Raw genomic sequence first — 16,833 nt, 5'->3', positions numbered from 1 at the left:
GCCTCAGTGCATGGGGCCCGCCTACTTCCCAGGGTGCAGGGCTCTTGCAGTGCAATAATTGGGCCCTATTTCATGACAGAGAGTCTTTTTTCTCCCTTTCCTGCTGCTGTTGGGAGCACTTATGGGCCAACGGGGAGTGTGGAGAGAAACCCTGGCCAGCCTTTGGACTGCTCCCATGTTGGATGGTTCTGTGAGAATGTTTTCCTTCTGCTGCAAAGAAATTTCTCTCCCTGCATCTTTCACCTCCTGGCCTCAATTCTATTCCTTGGAACCCTACAGAATAATTCAAATAAGTCTCTTGCCTTTTCTGAAAGTTGGCTCAATGCTAAGTTTTGATGGGGAGTCAGAAGTGTGAGATGTGGTTAAGAAGGTTATACTTTGATTTTGGAGTCAAGAGTGATCTTAACCAGTCACCAAATATGTTTTAAAAATAATTATCCTTATTGGTTTGAACATTATCATGTCAATGGATGCTTATTACAGAAAATTTGGGGGTAAAAACCCAAAAGATGGAAGGAGGGATTGCCCATAATCCTACCTCCCTACTGCCAACATTTTGTTCTGTATCGTTTTTGCATTTTTTTCCCCATCGAATGTTTGTGGAGCGAATACAAAGCAAGGTGCTGATTCAGGTGCCCCAGAAAAGATGTGCTGATAGACCAGGCTTGGATCTTGACCAGAAGATGCTCCAGGGGAAGGAAGACATGAGCCTGGGCTTTGGAGTGAGAAACACCTAGTGTCGGGTGCACTTACTAGTTGTCAGAGCATGAGTAAGCGTGTTTACTCGTATGAGAACTTAACAATGGTACCTATCTCATTAGGTTGTTGAGGGGATTCAGAGAGGTAAGCCTGTAAAACACACAGCATCCAGGTCTCCAACGAATGTCATCACCATCAACATAACAGAGTATACAGTGATTATGGAGGCTAGACAGGTACGGGTCAAAGACCACAAGATTTCAGAGAAGAGGGACTAAACCACTTGACACCGTTTTCAGAGTGGGCTACACACAGTCGGTGACTGTACCAGGCAAGCACACTGATTAACTGAACTGAATTTACTGCCCAAGTATAATCAGCAGTTAACTCATGTCTGAAAGCTCGGCTCCTCTGCTCCTTTCCACGTCTGTTTAGCCTCCTGTGTCTTTGCTCTGCTGTTCATGGGGAAGGTGCTTAAGGTCTCCTCAAGAAGCAGACAGGGTATAAATCTTCAATCTTGTAACTGTAATGAAGGCTTGGCTATAGGCTCCCCTCTGACCTCAGAGAAGCTTCCTCCATTACAGTGAGACAGTCCCGTGGGCAACTCAGCCTGGCCCTGGTCTACCAGTGTCCTCCTACCTCTACCTTAAATGGCATTTCCAGAGCCAAGGGTTTCCTCTGCCTGCAGCAAGGACAAACACAGCCACCATGGAAGAAAGCCATGCTCCCAAAGATCTCGGAGCAGCTCGGGGGTAAATTGCTGTTACAGCACAGAAATAAAAGACCTGCAGAAGCATGAGCAGCACCCTAAAGCTAGTCCCGTGCCCTTGGACCTCTGGCCTTCCAGGAAGGTAACTCTCGGGCTGCCAGCCCTCCTCCCCACCCCCAGTCTTAGTTCCCTCTGGGCTGACCCCATGTCCCAGAGGCAGGTCTCGAAATGGCCCAGGAACAGACCCCATTGACAGGAAATCAGGCCCTTTATATCTGAACATTTTTGGCTGGGCGCAGTGGCTCACGCCTGTAATCCCAGCACTTTGGGAGGCCAAGGTGGGAGGATCCCCTTGAGTCCAGAAGTTTGAGACCAACCTGGACAACATGGAAAGACCCTGTCTCTACAAAAATATATAAAAATCAACCAGGTGTGGTGGCACACACTTGTAGTCCTAGCTATTCAGGATGCTGAGGCAGGGGAATCGCTTGAGCCCAGGAGGTGAAGGTTGCAGTGAATCATGACTGTGCCACTGCACTCCAGCCTGGGTGACAGAGTGAGACCCTGTGTCCAAAAAAAAAAAGAAAGAAAAAGAAAAGAGAAAATAAAAAAAGAAAAGAAAGAAAAGAAAAAAATCTGAACATTTTGACAAAGGGAATTGTGGGTGTTTGTGCTTCTTCCTCCTCACTCTCTTTCTCAAGTGTGGTACCTAAACCAATTAAATACAAAATCACTTTCTGTTATTATATTTAGGCAAATCATATTCCCACAGTTCCAAAATGCACACATTATAAATAAAATATAAATTATTTTAGATCTTATTAAAGCATCCGCTCTCTGAGAACACTACCAGAAAAGCCATCATTTGCATCCCCTTCTGCTAGGTAAGTGGGGGCTTCCTGCGAGGCCTCAAGGGTTCCTGTGGGACCTTCCACTGACAGGAGCATGTTCCTCCATAAGCAGAAACTTCACAACACCTTTCAGGAGAACTCCCCCTTAAAGCCATGTATTTACATCTAGAAATGGAGCTATCATCTGCTTATCTCAGGATCAACAAACCTTGCAAATCATTTAACTCAATTTCAGCCGACAAAATAACCAAGGTCCAGAGATGTTAAGTATTGTGTCCATGGTCATTCAGTAGTATCCCAATTTCAGGCTAAGAAACTCCGGTTTAAGAAATTCTTGCCTAAATCTTTCACAGTTCTAAATAGGAGACTGTTGACACAAATGAGTGCACCTATACCGAAAATGAGTAGTCTTTTTAAAAAATGTAAAGTGAAATTCCATATAACACCTTAGCCTCCCACCCATGCCTGTTAGTGAACTGGCATATGGAAAACCTAAGTCCCAAACCAAAACAACCACAAATGTTCTCGCCAACTGTGAGGACTGAAGACTCAAGGCCGGCTGTGTCAGCCCTGCCTCCCAGTTTGGCTGCTGTCCTGTCCCAGCGTGCATCAGTGTAGATTCAAGGGGATGTCCCCAAATCTACTGCCTCGCTGCATCGGGTACAGCATGGAAAAATCACAAACCTTGCCGCATCGTAAGCAGCCATATAGGGATGGAATCAGTATCTCCCTTTAGCTTTACAGATTCCATAGCCAAATTTTTCACATCAAAATTGGTGACACTTGGGCCGACAGCAGGACAGAATATTAAAAATCAGGACCTTCTTGAGAAATCTGGCCATACGGTTGCCATGCCGACACCCTGTAATGCCAAACAGGCATCTCCAAGGTCCAGAAGCAACTTGGCTGGCTTCAAATAGTCCAGACATTGTGAAAGCAGAGCTGCCTCCAGGTCCAGGCGCTTCTGCAGACCCTCCCTTTCCCAGCTCAGCTCTCTGATTCCCCAAGGGAGCAATGATGACGCCTGTCTGAATTTGCCAGCCTCTGACAGCAGGGCTAGCCACATCATTCTCTAAGAATCTGAAAATCCACATGCAGCATCCTGGCCCAACTAGACAGAGAAATGTTTCTGAATAAGCGGTTACCACAAATTGCAGGGAGAAAGTAAATCCTCAGCTGCACCTGCCCCTTTTAAGTTGAACAAAGCATTCAATGCCTGCAGAAGCTTGAACGTACATCCCCCACCTCCTTACTTAGAGCCACCTCCTTACTTAGAGGTTACAGTTGATAATAAAATATTAAGGAGATATGAATATAATACAATAATATTAGGGGGATGTGAAGCATTGACTGCCCCCAGAAATGGGTGAGAATCCTATTTCACTCCTTTAAGAAGCCTTGCTGTGCACTTTAGGAGGCTGAGGTGAATGGATCACATGAGGTCAGGAGTTTGAGACCAGCCTGGGCAACATGATGAAACCCCATCTCTACTAAAAATACAAAAATTAGCTGAGAGTGGTGGCGCATGCCTGTAATCCCAGCTGCTCGAGAGGCTGAGGCATGAGAATCGCTTGAACCCGGGAGGTGGAGGTTACAGTGAGCCGAGATCATGCCACCTCACTCCAGCCTGGGTGACAGAGTGAGACTCCATCTCAAAAAAAAAAAAAAGAAAAAAAGAAATCTTGCTGTGTGCATCAATGTGGGGATGCAAGGAGCTTCCAGCACAGTTCCCGCATGCATCACTTACATTCAGCTGCAAATCACATGGAAGAAATAACTGGAAGAGAGGAATACAATGAAACAATGCAAGGCAGTTGTCAAAAGTGGTGCCTGACGGGGGGGTCAGTGCTGGTGGAACAGGCATCTAAAGCTTAAGAACAAAGAGGGAGCTGGCTGTGCCCCTAAGTGGCCACAGAAGGCTCTGCCACTCCCAGGGACTTCCATTCTCCCTTTCTTCCTGCACCTTCACTTCCCAGCTCCCAGGTATCTCCCTGATACTCCTTCATACTTTAAACTTAGCTTCCCGCTCTGAGACCTTTTCTTACCTGCAGCAAGTCAAACCCTGTGGGAATAAGCAGGGACAAGAGGATGTTTACTGGTGATTCTCATGACCTCCAATTCCCACCCCTCAAAATGAGTGCTGAATCCTTCCAGCAGGTCCCCTACACCATTCTGGGACTCTTGAGAAATGTGAGCGGCCCTCCCAGTGCATCTTACAGGACTCTGGAAGGAGCAGGAGAGAGGTGCATGGGCCAGGTCAGGGTTCAGGTTCCGGGTTCCAAAGCAGAGGCTCTGAGCAGCAGTCTCCTGTGCTCTCTTCCCTCCTCTCCTCCCTGCCCAGCCTCTTTCTCCGCCCCTTCCAACTCAGACCCTCTTCTCATCGCCTCACCAGAAAGAGGGACAGAGCATCTGGCCAGCCTGCCTTGCCTGAGACTAGGGCTCTTCCTGCCACTGAGTATGAATGTGGCAGCCTGGGCTCCTGGAGAGGAAGCTCCCTGGGGTCTGGAGGCCACTGCTGGTTTGGACAGTTCCAGCTCCAACCTGTCCCTCTGCTCAGATCACAACACTCTGGGGCCTCAGCACAGGAGGCTTTTCCTTATCAGTTTTCTGTCCAAAGGGCGACAAGTGCTTTGGAAACAGTGTCCTGGGAGAACAGCCCAGAAGGGAACAGTGCACCTAATCAGGCTTGCCCCCAGAGAGTTCACCCAGACTGGTATCTAGGACAAAACCCACAACCTCACCCCCCCGCCCCAGGTCTCCTCAGGCAAAGCCCTGAAATAATGTTTCCTTTGCAGGGGACTCGGAATCTGGGGCAGGATGGGAATATGAGGGGACACTCTCCAATGAACTTCCCGATATTCCTGGGGTTCAGATCCGCGTCTGGATGCGTTTCTCGGATTCGGCTCCACACAAGCCTCAGCCCTCCGGACCTTGCACCTCCCCCGCGGATCTCCTCACCCCTCCACCCCCAGGCCCAGATCTTTCCTTGTCGGAATCGCCACGCTTCCTCACTCCTTTACCCCCGCCCCACTCGGCTCTCCTCTTCCTGGTCCTCATCCGGCCAGGCTGCCCCGCCCTGGTAGTTCCCGAGGGTCGTCCGAGGCTCTCGTCCACCAACCGCCCCCGTCTGGAAGAATGCGCCCGCTCGAGCGCACTCTCGGCGGGTGCCAAAGCCTCCCGCCTCAACAGGTGCCCCTGCCTGGCCACGCACAGCTCTGTCACCTGGGGCTCGGACGGAGACGGCGACAGGATCGCCCCCTGCAGGGCGGCTGCGGCTCCGCACGCCCCCGCCCGGGTCCCCAGAGCGCCAAGGGCCCCCGCAGCCCCGCCGCCGCCCCCGCTGTGCCACACTGCCTTTGTTTCCCTGCCCGCTTAGATGTCGCGAGGCTGACTTCATGCAAGGGTATCGCCAAGTTCGGGCGCTGACACTGCCCACCTACCCGTGGTGGCGGACCCTAAGGTTGGGAGTGAGAGACGCGTACAGTGCGAGACCTCTCCTCAACCCAGAGAACTCCGGGGAAGCTGGGTGTCCGCGCCGAAGAAGCGGGTTCAAGTTGACCCGGCTCAGAAGGGGGTTCGAAGCCAGGCGCAGCGCCTAGAGAGCCTTCCCCTACCCACGCCCCCACCCGATGTCCTCTGCCCCCAGAAGGCTGGAGAGGGGCTGCGCACTGCCACCTACGCGCTCGGCTGCGAGTGGTTCCCACCGCCCGCTCGCCGCGCGCTGGGCCCGGCAGCCTTCCGGGGCACACGAGGCTCCCGCAGCCCCCAGACTCCCGGCCCCGGCAGCGCAGAGCCGGGAGAGCCGCCACGTTCCCAGCCGCGCGCGCACGCCGGGCCCACCAAACTTGCAGCACTTTCTCCCAGCCCCCACCCTCTGTCACCCTCCCTTAGTCGGTGCGCCCCAGCCCCGCCGCCCGGCAGAGGTTGCCATAACAACGGGCAGGAATGCTCCAACATATACAAAGCCGGCCCGGCGCAGCGGGCACTCAGCCCTGGCCGGGCCCCGCGCCCTCGGCCGCCGCGCAGGGTCTGGACGCGCGCCGCGGCTCCCTAGCCGGCCGGCCGACGCTCGGGGCGTACTCACAATGAGCGGGATGGTGCGGTCCTCGCGGAGCTGCTCCGACCTCCTGCCTGCCCTCTGCGCGCCCCGGCCGCCGGAGGATGCTGCGTGGGCTCGGTTGTCCTGCCATAAGTAGTAGAAAGTGCCCAGGATCCAGGCTACGGTCAGGATGGCGATGGCATTGGCGCGGATCTTCCTCATGGTGGGCAGACGGGCGCCCCAGGTGGGGGACTGGGCCGGCGTGCTCTCGGGGCCGGGGCGGGGGCGCTCGCAGCCCCAGCTGTTTGTTTTCGCTCGCGCCTAGCTGCTCAGTCCTGCAGAGCAGAAAAAGGAGAGAGGTGGGGGGGCGGGGGGGTGATAGGGAGAGACAGGATCGCGGAGCGATCCTCACGGTCCTAATGCCCTTCAGCCCCGAGCGCGCGCGTCCCCCGGGCGCCCATTCATTCGTGCGCAGGGCCGGCCCCGCGCTCCAGCCGCCGCCGGCTGACCCACCAGGCCACTGCGCACTGGGAGAGAAGCGCGCCGAGTGGGAAGCGGCGCGGGCCTTCCTCCCGCGCCCGGGAACCCGGCGAGACAGACGCCCGCGGCGGAATGGCGACTGGCCAAAGCCAGCCTCGGCTCCCACCGCTAGGTGACCGAACGCCCGGCAGCTGCCCCCGCGCGGCCCTGGTCGGTCCTGCCGACCCACACCCACCCCCGGACCGAGCGGCCTTGAGTCACCGACTGGAGACGCGCGACCCCCGACCTGGGCCCGCGCCGCGAGCTGCAGTTCCGGGCTGCGCTCTGGCGCGGGATTCAAGGTGTGTTCGGCGAGTCCTTGTGTAGGGGCGGCTGGGCGGGGGAGAGTCCTGAGTTTGTACTGGAATCTGCAGCTGAGATTAGCCAGACCGGGCCCGCCCAGAGGAGGGATTGGAAGCTGGTGCACTTGACATTCGAAGAGCGCGAAGGGGAAACGACGCTGCCTCACACCCAGTGCTAGGAGAGTGCGGGTACGGCCCTTCCACATTTTTCGCTGGCCTGGGGCTCCCAGATTTCACGATGCTTCCCTCTATCCCGCCTCATTGACCCCTGGACAACCCTGAAATATCATCGTCAGCATTATTTCATCGGAAAGAAGGGCAGCAAGAGAGGCCGGATGATTCTCCCAAGGCCACACAGCTAATTAGTGGGCAGAGCCCAGTCTAGAAGCCATCTCACCATCTGACACCTTTCGACAAAGTGCAAAACGCGGTGGTGAGAGACGAGGACACAGACATTAAGATTCCGCTCCAGCCCTAGAGGCACTGAGAATCAGAACGTGAACTACTCTTCACTCCAGGCAGAAAGCAAGAGGCTTGGATGAGTTTTAGGAAACCAGCACAGTGTCGGGCACAGAGCGCTCAATGAATAGATGTGTAACAACAAAGTAGGGATCCAACAGAGGAAGAAATAATTTATTGTAAGGTGGCCTTTGGGAAAGCTCTCAGAAAGGTGGATGAATCACTTAAGAGGTAAGGAAGGGGGAGGTGAGGACAGGGGAGAGACTGCAGAAATAGGCCTTGCAAAAATCCAGAGGATGGAAGAGCTTGATGTGTTCAAGAGAGAGAGCTGCCAGGCGTTGCAGGGGGCCTAGGATTTGATAGGAGTTGAGGTTGGCCAGGCTGGGTGAGTCTGAACTCAGGAGGTCCTTGAATGCCGGGGCAGAGTTGTTGAGGAGTCTGCTTCCTGCTGGCACTGCTGGACACCATGGCTACTCCGAAGACCCACATAGGGTCCAGCCTCTAAATGAAGCCATCTGGGGAATCAGGCAAACTGAAGTCACAGCATCATGCCCCCCCACAAGCATCCCATGAGCACCACCCTGACAGATAGAAGTAAAATCAGGTGGCTTTTCTCCATTTCTCCAGCACTCGAGACTGAACCGCACATATAATAGATGCTCAATACATTTCTGTTGAGGTGAAGAAACCCTAGTTGGGTTTTTGCTGAGGAAAACCCAGGGTCATTACTGCAATACGATATCCTCACTCAGAAGACTAATTACGATGACACTTAGACAAGTCCAAAAGTGACCCACGCAGGAATGGGACCTAGAAAGAAGAGAATGCACAAAGAGGGCCTCACAAAGGGTCTACACAAGTAGCAGGGAATTTCAGGCATAAGGTGTGGCAGTCACAACAGGGGCAGGAGTCTGGAGACGCCAGATGCTCTCCCAGGTCTCTCTCCCCTGGGGAGTTTAATAAGACTGCGCCAGGGGCCAGGGCTTGTTTGCATAGATGGAGAAAACCACTGCCAAACCTCCATCTGGTTTCCGCAGGAATCATGGGGCAGATCCAGCGGTGCCATTTGTGGGAGGCCAGGAAAGACCTTGCTCCTTGGGAATCAGGCTCCACAGGCCTCTCAGGTCAACCAAGAAAATGTAAGGGAACTACCCTCCTGGTGCCCCCATTTTCACACATCTCTCAGGTGAGCCAGGTGAAAACTTGGGGAGTAGCCCTGTTGTCATAGGCTGCTCCCCTCATCCCAGCCTGGTCTGTGCATCTCTAGTTGCCTTTGGATGTGGGATTCGAAGACATCACATCACCTATCACCTCCTGGTAAAAGGCTCCAAACTCACCCCTCGGCACGGGGATGAAGCTGGACCATGCTGACTGAAACCAGACAGTTGGGGCTTCTGGTGACTCCAAAAGGAAGGCTCCATGGGGGGAAGGAGGGAGGGGTGGGATGGGCTGGAATGTGGCAGGGTTTCTCACATCTCACCACTTACTGCCCAGGGCTCAGTGGTGAGGATGCTATATATCTGCCCCAAATGGTCACTCCTGGTAGTTCTGTCCCTGAGAGAAGGTTTGCTTGGCCCCCACCACCAGAAAGACTGCACAGAAGTGAAGCGTAGCCTCTCTAGATGACTTCACCACAGTTGTTCCTTAGTTGGGCACTTCCCTGGGGGATGATGGGGGTGGGGTGGGGGTAAGACAGCAAGTAATTGCCATGCTCATTTGACTGACAGGAATTCCACATAGACAGAGGTGGAGTAATGTGCCTGAAGCCATAGGCACTCTGGCAGAGCTAAAGACCAGGAATTGCCACCTTGGCTACAGTCTGTGGTCTTCGTTTCAGATTGTAATCCCAAGTGGGTGCAGAACTGGCCCTCCCTGGGATAGGTTTCAATGCTCAGAAATGACAATGAGTGTTGTTTCCTCTCTGGTACTAGGAATGGACTCCAGCAGCATCACAGAATCAAAGCAACACCTAAGGAATTCACTGTTTCTTCACATACTTTGAACTGTGAAAACAAGAGTCATCATAATAGCTGCAGTTTACTCAGTACCTACCAGGTACTGTCACCTATACTGTCTCTAAAGCCCCTACAACCCTGAGCTAAGGATGATCATATCCCCAACTGCAGATGATGACACTGAAGCTCAACGGCTACTCAACTTGCCTGGAATCCTACAGCAAGTAAGTGGTGAAGCTCGGTTTAAGTCCTGTGCCATTTTCAACGCTTGTGTCTGGGTACGAGTACAGGGCTTCTGAGGCCACTGGGAAATCTGCAGTGTGGTCTGAATTTCTGTATGCAGGAGTCTCACTTTCCCTGCCCACAGTTCTCCGTTTTCTCATCCATAAAAGGAGGGATATAAGATGTCCTGGGGTGGGGGGGTCTCACCAACTGTGCCACTTTGAACTTGCATTTCCTCCTTTTCAGGATTTCTCTTAGGCACAGTTCATATTGTTTTAAAGCTGTCAAAGCCAGCACTCAGGGTAAGCTGGGCAAAGTTCCACATGCCCCTGGGGCTCCCAGATGCCCCAGGGAGCTCTCTGCCTCTGGGCCTTTGGTGTGGGGGTTGTGGAGGAGTGGATAACCGAGGGGGAAAGGGTACAGCTCAGTGTAAGGCCCTGGCTCTGGAATTGGACAACCTGAACTTGAATGCTGATCCTGTCACAAATTAAGAGAGTGGTTTGGGCAAATTCTTAACCTCAGTTTCCTCAACTGCAAAATGGGGCACTGACAGCTCTTACCTCACAACTTTGTTGGGAAAGATAGGATGAAATAAAGTCATGTAAAATCCAGTGCCTCATAAGCACCCCCCAGGGGCTCTCTCCTGCAGGCTGTTGCTGGCTGCTGGAGGTGAAAGGGGCCTCCTGAAAGGGACTGCTCACTATTGCTGCCAAGAACAGACCTGATGCCAGCCTCTTTGGCCATGGCTAATGTCCAGCAGTCATAGACTGTCCTGCCCGTGGGTGGGTGGCTGCATCTTCCAGAGCCTCTGCTGAGCAGGCTGGAGGCAAGGCAGGGGAGAGGCACAGAGCAGGGCCCCAGCCTCCCATTTGAGGTGCTGGGCCAGCTCAGAAGCTCTTGCTCTGTCCACAGCAGCAGGGCCCAGAAGGTAGGGAAGGGACCTGATTGGATACCCTTACTGGCCCATGTCTGCTCTAAGCAGGAAAGAAGGCAGGGATGGTGGACAGAATGTATGTTACCAAGCAACAGGCAATGTGCTGATACACGATCTCAGAATACTCATAACGACCCTGTGAGGAAGGCGCAATCATCCCCCTTCCACAGGGGAGGAGACTGATGCCCACGGAGGTGCCAGCATAAAGTGGAGCATGCGCTGCCCACTGCCAGCTGAGCGCACTCAATGCACCAATCGTCTCTAAGGAAAAGATATTTATAAGGTAGTTTCTATAAACCATTATAGATGGAGGAAAGGACTTAGCTCTTTGAAAGGAACTTGGCAGTTTTCTTATTGTCAATCCTCCTCCTCCTACTTGTCTGATAACCCTGGTTTCTTACTTATTAGTTTCTGCCACTGGAGTAAAAATTCCAAGAGGACTGGGGTTCTTGTATATTTTCCTTACCACTGTTTCCCCGGTGCCTATAGTAGTGGCAAATAGTACATGCTTGTTAGTGTGTAGTATTTGTTTTTTTGTTTGTTTGTTTGTCTGAAGCCCTTGGAATGCGATCGCATAGTTATTTGTTGATGGAAGGAAGGGAGAGGAAGAGGGAAGGAGGAGAAAAGGCAGTGTAGCTCTATGAAAAAATGCACTTCTCTCTTAAGCCAAGCACTTGAGAAATGAGTACAGGACTAGAGCACAGACAAAGGGGGTGATTCGTTTAGGGTCAGGGCGGGCCAGTGTAGGGAGTCCCCTGCCAGTGCTTCCTCCCCAAGTCATGGAGCCAGGGCCAAACCTTCCTGCCCCAGGATGAGGGGGGAGAGAAAGTCCTTTGTGGTCCCATGAGAAGTAGCAGAAGGAATGACCCCAATTCTGGTGGACAACTGCAAGAACCATAAATGTTACCAGGGATCATGAAATAACCCAGGTGTTGCATTTGGGAATAATAGGATTGCAGAGGCTGCAGGCTAATTAGAAATGTGTCAAATGATTTTCATTAACAAGCAAGGAATTTGTACAAAGGAGAAATACATAAATAAAACCACTCCTCAGCAGAGTTGATCCCAGAGGCAGAGCCCTTTCCAAGGCCTCTCTGACCTTCCCGTCTCCACTACCTTCTCCTGAGTCACTTCCCCTTCTCCGTAGCCTCTGCAGAGCTGGGTGGCCAAGGTCCTCAGATCAGACTACATGGCCCAAGATGCCAGGTTAGTGCCTACCACATGCCTGTCTTTCCCTTGAATGGGAGCTCCTCTAAGCAGAGACTGGCAGCCTCCTTTTATGTATCATGAGTTTCTAGCACAGTGTTGGGCATCTTGGCAGCACTCGCTAAATATCTAGGCAGAGTAAATGAATGAATGAATATTGAGGGTGGCAGCTGCTGCTACTCCCCATTCTGTCCCATGAAAATGCCAAATAGCCCACTCAGACTGTAAAGCCAGTGCTTGATTGCCCATTGGCGTGGAATTTCCAGTCCCTTCCTTTCCTTTCCTTCTTGAACACCTACCATGCCAGGCACTTCTAGGTACTGGGGATACAAAAATTAATAGAATCTGGTTGTAGCCTCTGAAGAGTCCAGTAATTGACAATGGGGAAATACACATAGATAATCACAAGATGAGTCCGGGTGTGGTGGCTCATGCCTGTAATCCTAGCACTTTGGGAGGCCAAGGCAGGAGGACTGCTTGAGAGCAGGAGTTCGAGACCAGCCTGGGAGACATAGTGAGCCCTCATCTCCATTAAAAATTTAAAAATTATCTGGGCATGGTGGTGCATGCCTGTAGTCTTAGCTATTCATGAGGGTTAGTGGGGAGAATAGCTTGAGCCTAGGAGTTTGAGGTTGCAGTGAGCTATGATCATGCCACTGCACTCCAGCCTGGGTGACAGAGCAAGACCCTGCCTCAGAGGAAAAAAAAATCACAAGATGATATAATAGAGCTCCACAGAAGCACAGATTAGAGCAGTAACACTGAAGCAGGAGAGAAAGAGGGTAGGATTTGGTGGTCAGTTTGAGGTGGATGTGAGAGAAAGGATTTGAGAATAGCGTGTTAAGTTTCTTGATTAGGAGACTAGTGCTTTGGTGTAATGTAACCATTAACTGAAATGGGGAATATAGGAGGAGGAGCCAATTTGGGAGGTGTGTTCAGTGAACTTGAGTTGTCTGTGGTCGGTCCAGGAAGGCATCTATAAATCCAGATATGGAGCTCAGGGAGAGTGGACGTCGCCAGTCAGGTAGAGATGAGAAAGCCAGAAACACAACTGGGGTGAACATGTTGCTGGGTGGCTGCCTATGTACCCAGCACCTAGGCATGGCAGAAAGGCCATGTTGTCAGAGATGAGGGCTTCTGGATGCCTCGTGTGAAGATGGAGAGACAGAAAACTGGCATTTTTTTCTGCCTCTGTCAGATGCCTTAATTCAAGTCCCTGGACCCAGTCTCTTAGGAATACTCATTGCTTTATCGGGAAACCCAGGATGGACCCCTTGACCTAGGGTTTGAATAAAATTTGTCTCCATATCAAAAAGGTCAGGTGACAAGACCAAAGAGAATTTGAAGAGAGATCCATAGTCCTGGTCCTGCATTTCCTTCAGTTTAATGGTGCTTATAATTGATATCTCCATTTTCCTTGTGAAACTGGGAAGTAGAAATTAAAGCAATGTTCCCAGGATTGGTACATATTTTGAAGCTCTCAGCAAGGCTGAAAATATCCATCGATATATTTTGAAGTGTAATTTCTACTCCCTTACCAGTCAAAATAATTGAACGGGAAGAAAAAGCTGTTAATGCAGGAGGCATATAACATCAGATCTACATTGCCTGGAAATTTACCATTTCAAAGCAATTGAAGGCTTTTACAGCCAATGTTTACAGTCCTACATGTCCCCTTCTCACTGAAGCCACCCTCTGAAGCCATCAAAAGGCCCATCAGTCTGGCTTGGACACTGAAATTGCTCACAGTGTCTGGAGCTGATGCCAAAACAGGGAGGATTTTAAAATATCATCCTGCCATTTTATCAGCGTGTAAATTTTATGGAGTTTCCTCCTGGTAGGTGGTAGGAAACAGCTGGGGCTGTCTATCAGTGCTCATGGAGCCAGTGGTGGCAGAGCTCCATGGTGGCATGGCCAGGCACATCCTCCCCACGCACAGCTTGTCTTCTTAGTTGTCCAGTCTAAGTTGACATTTATCCCTTTTGCCCAACAAGAAAATACCTGCCCAGTGACAGTAAGCCAGAGGGCTGCAAGTTTTTTGGCAGAGGGATGGCGCTATGCTGCCTCTCACAGCCTCTGCCTGGACCCTGAATCTCAGCCCGGAGCCCAGCAGGACAGACAGACAATAGACTTTGCCGGCAGCCATCTTCTGTCTTCTGCCAGTACTTGTGTATGGGTGGGTGGGCGGGTGCATGTGTGCACAGGCTCTGTTTTCAATTGGAATTTGACTTCAGGCTTTTCCTGGAATTACTAATTTCTTTCCTCCTATTTGTGTCCACCGGAGAAAATTTCTAAATCCATGTCTGATCACTTGTCTTTCCTTCCACCTCTGAATCACTTATCTTTACAAAGACCACTACCTAAAGATGGAGCACGCAGTATTTTCTTGGGCAACTGGGACAACTGGGAGATGGGAAACCTGGGTTTTAGAAATGACACTTCAGAATATATCGATGGATATCTTCAGCCATACTGACAGCTTCAAGATACATACCAATTCCAGGAACACTGCTTTAATTTCCACTTCAGTAGCTGATATGCTGTCAGCTAGCATGGTGACCCTGGAAAAGTCACTTATCTGGGCCTCTTCCTCATGTTTATGGGGAGGGCTTTGGGAAAAAAAGGAAGGAAGAAAAAGAAAAGAAGAGAAAAGAAAAAAGAAAAGAAGAAAGAAAAAAGTACTTGGAAGGTCCTTTCAAGTGCTAGCATTTTAGAATTCTATTTACTTGTTTTAATGTTTTAAACCATTCCCTGCCTCAGCAAGAATGATGGGCAATCAACTAGGATACAATTTTCTTTATTATCATTTGATCCCCCCCTCTACATCTTACACACACACAGACATACACACACACACACACACACACACACACACATCCCAACAACTGAAAATAGTCCATTTGTTCAAGAATCTGGAAACTTCTGGATTACAGCAGACTAAAAAAGGAGAAATTGGAAGAATGTACAAGAAATTGGTACATCTGGGGATGCCTCTGAGGAGGGGAGTTTGAGGGGAGCATGAGTAGGAGAGAGACCTTCATTGTATACCCTTTGTGCCTTTTCAATTTTTTTTACCTCTTTACCTAAAATTCTTTTCCAGCAAGAAAAAAGTTTTCCTTCCTCTTTCTTCTACCTCAGGCCTCTCTGCAGCTCAGTGCCTAGGGGAAGAGGAGCCCAGTGACTGAGCTGGAGTCACACGCTGGAAGCTGCCTTCAGACCAGACCCTCCCTAAGGGTCCCTCTCTAGCCAGGCTGGCCAACAGCCTTGCTCCCCCGGCTGCCCCATGGGCCTGGAGGGGTTCTGTGGGTGCACACCCGCTGCTGGCTACCCCTGCCGCCGGCACTCATCTGAGCTGTCGAGCTGTGTAGGGATTCCATTCAGAGTGCTCCAGTAAGGGACTGGCCCCATAGCTCCAGCAGCAGATGGGCAAAGAGGCCTAAGAATTCAGCAAAAGGGGAAGTACATCCAGCCTTAAATTCTCCAGGCTGTGCCATCCCCTTTCAAATGCAGACTGCCTTTGTTTGTTTTCTACTACTAATATAACATGAGGACAGGCTCATAAAAAATAATAAAAGGGCAAGAGATGAGTAGGAGACAGGGTCCTCACAGATCCCTTTGTTCCTGGCCTTATCCCCAAACTGCTTGCCTCCATGTGGCAGAGCTGAGCTGCAGGGTCTCTGGCAGGGTCCCACTGCCCTGGTCTCCCCAGTGCCTGCTCCTCATCAACTTTCCCTCATGACATCCAGCCTCCACCTGACCTTCCTCTTTTGATTCTAACCTTTAATGGGTGCTGGCCCATCACTTGTGTGTCCTATGTTCTCTATGCCCCTCCTCAGATTTCTGATCCCCCCCATTACCTGTTTCACCGACTTATGGCACTGCCACACTGCCAAGAATAGCCATCATCACTGAGGTCTGCTTCCTAGTCTGGAGCTCTCACTTGCCCCACAACCGAGATTGTTCGAGGTAGGAGCCTCTACCGTCCATTCACATACCCCATACCCTACATCTTTCCAGAATCAACACAGCCAATCTCCCCTTAGCAAGTAAAAAATATTCATGTCCTTCCTTTGTATGACCCCTTACTGGGAATCCAGAGATCATGATGCTTAGGTCTTGTAAGTGGTCTCCGTGGATAGGGTGGGAAGAGGCCACATTGGTCTTCTGAAGTCCTAACTCTCTTTGCTAAAAGATACTCTTTTGAAAATGGCTCTGCACGCTGCCCATGCTCAATCTGGGGTGTCCTGGCTGTGCTGGAGCACTGACTGCTGACCTCACATTGCAGGCCCCAGTGTTTGCCACTGCAATGAGCAGCCTCTCCTGCCTCCCCAGCTGCACACAGGCCCAGGTGGGGCTGGGCTGTCCCCAAGCAGGCCACGGGAAGGTGGAGGCAAGAAGATCATCGGGAAGCCATGACAGTCAGACAAGCAGCAGCAGATGGGGATGTGCACTGGGTGGAGTGGACAAATAGCACGAGGAAAATCAGCTTTGGGGACAGAAAAAGCCAAGTGGGAAGTGTAATAAATACTAAAACCAGAAAAGCCTGAAGACAGTCCATCTAGGGAGCAGCAGGAGGATGGCTAACATCACTGGAGTTTAGGTCGAAGGGGAGGACAGCAGGAGGGGTCGAGGTGGTCAGTATTCCAGGGGCTAGGGACAAGAGAAATGGCACAACATAAGTCTCTCGGGAAGGGTCACTCACCTTCCAAGCTGTTGGACTCATTGGCTGCCACAAGAAGAATCTATTTAAAACACACCAGGCATTTTGCCTCATTCTGTTTCCCTGCCCAGAAAAGGCTGGAGCCGAAGGCTGAGGGAGAGGGAAGGATTCCAGCATCAGGACCCTGCATGGATGACATGGCTGAGACCATTCAGGATGGGGAAGATCCCTGCTCCATCCTGAATGACCCACACTTACATCCCCCACCCCCACCTAAG

General features: G+C 51.4%; 1 protein-coding gene and 1 long non-coding RNA gene across 12 annotated transcripts in view, besides 1 other annotated feature; one reads left to right on the top strand and one right to left on the bottom strand.

Moving 5' to 3' along the window:
• The window catches only part of GALNT16 (polypeptide N-acetylgalactosaminyltransferase 16), a 126,707-nt gene extending 119,527 nt beyond the window's left edge, over positions 1 to 7,180 (bottom strand). For 6 of the 7 annotated variants that reach the window (XR_007064036.1, XM_047431618.1, NM_020692.3 and 3 more), the window contains exon 1: positions 6,344 to 6,653. Coding sequence is in view for 6 of the 7 variants with exons in the window: in XM_047431618.1 (XP_047287574.1) it covers positions 6,344 to 6,520 (177 nt within the window). In the remaining variant the exon portion in view is untranslated. Of the gene's footprint in view, positions 1 to 6,343; positions 6,654 to 7,064 lie in introns of those variants that run through there. The other variant, XM_017021498.2, reaches the window with a different exon arrangement.
• Positions 5,548 to 5,607: a silencer, noted in NCBI's record as "silent region_5880". NCBI's record gives its function as "represses an Ori minimal core promoter by ATAC-STARR-seq in GM12878 lymphoblastoid cells {active_cell/tissue: GM12878}" and the evidence as "EXISTENCE:reporter gene assay evidence [ECO:0000049][PMID:35858748]".
• The window catches only part of GALNT16-AS1 (GALNT16 and EXD2 antisense RNA 1), a 77,510-nt gene continuing 66,960 nt past the window's right edge, over positions 6,284 to 16,833 (top strand). For 4 of the 5 annotated variants that reach the window (NR_184252.1, NR_184250.1, NR_184253.1 and 1 more), the window contains exons 1-2: positions 7,066 to 7,809; positions 9,510 to 9,757. This is a non-coding gene — a long non-coding RNA (GALNT16 and EXD2 antisense RNA 1). Of the gene's footprint in view, positions 6,522 to 7,065; positions 7,810 to 9,509; positions 9,758 to 16,833 lie in introns of those variants that run through there. The other variant, NR_184249.1, reaches the window with a different exon arrangement.

The sequence above is a fragment of the Homo sapiens genome, chromosome 14 (genome assembly GCF_000001405.40).
Source record: "Homo sapiens chromosome 14, GRCh38.p14 Primary Assembly".
In the NCBI taxonomy this organism is placed as follows: domain Eukaryota; kingdom Metazoa; phylum Chordata; class Mammalia; order Primates; family Hominidae; genus Homo; species Homo sapiens.
Note: the sequence above shows the minus strand (reverse complement) of the source record. Positions and strands in the feature narration are given on the sequence as shown.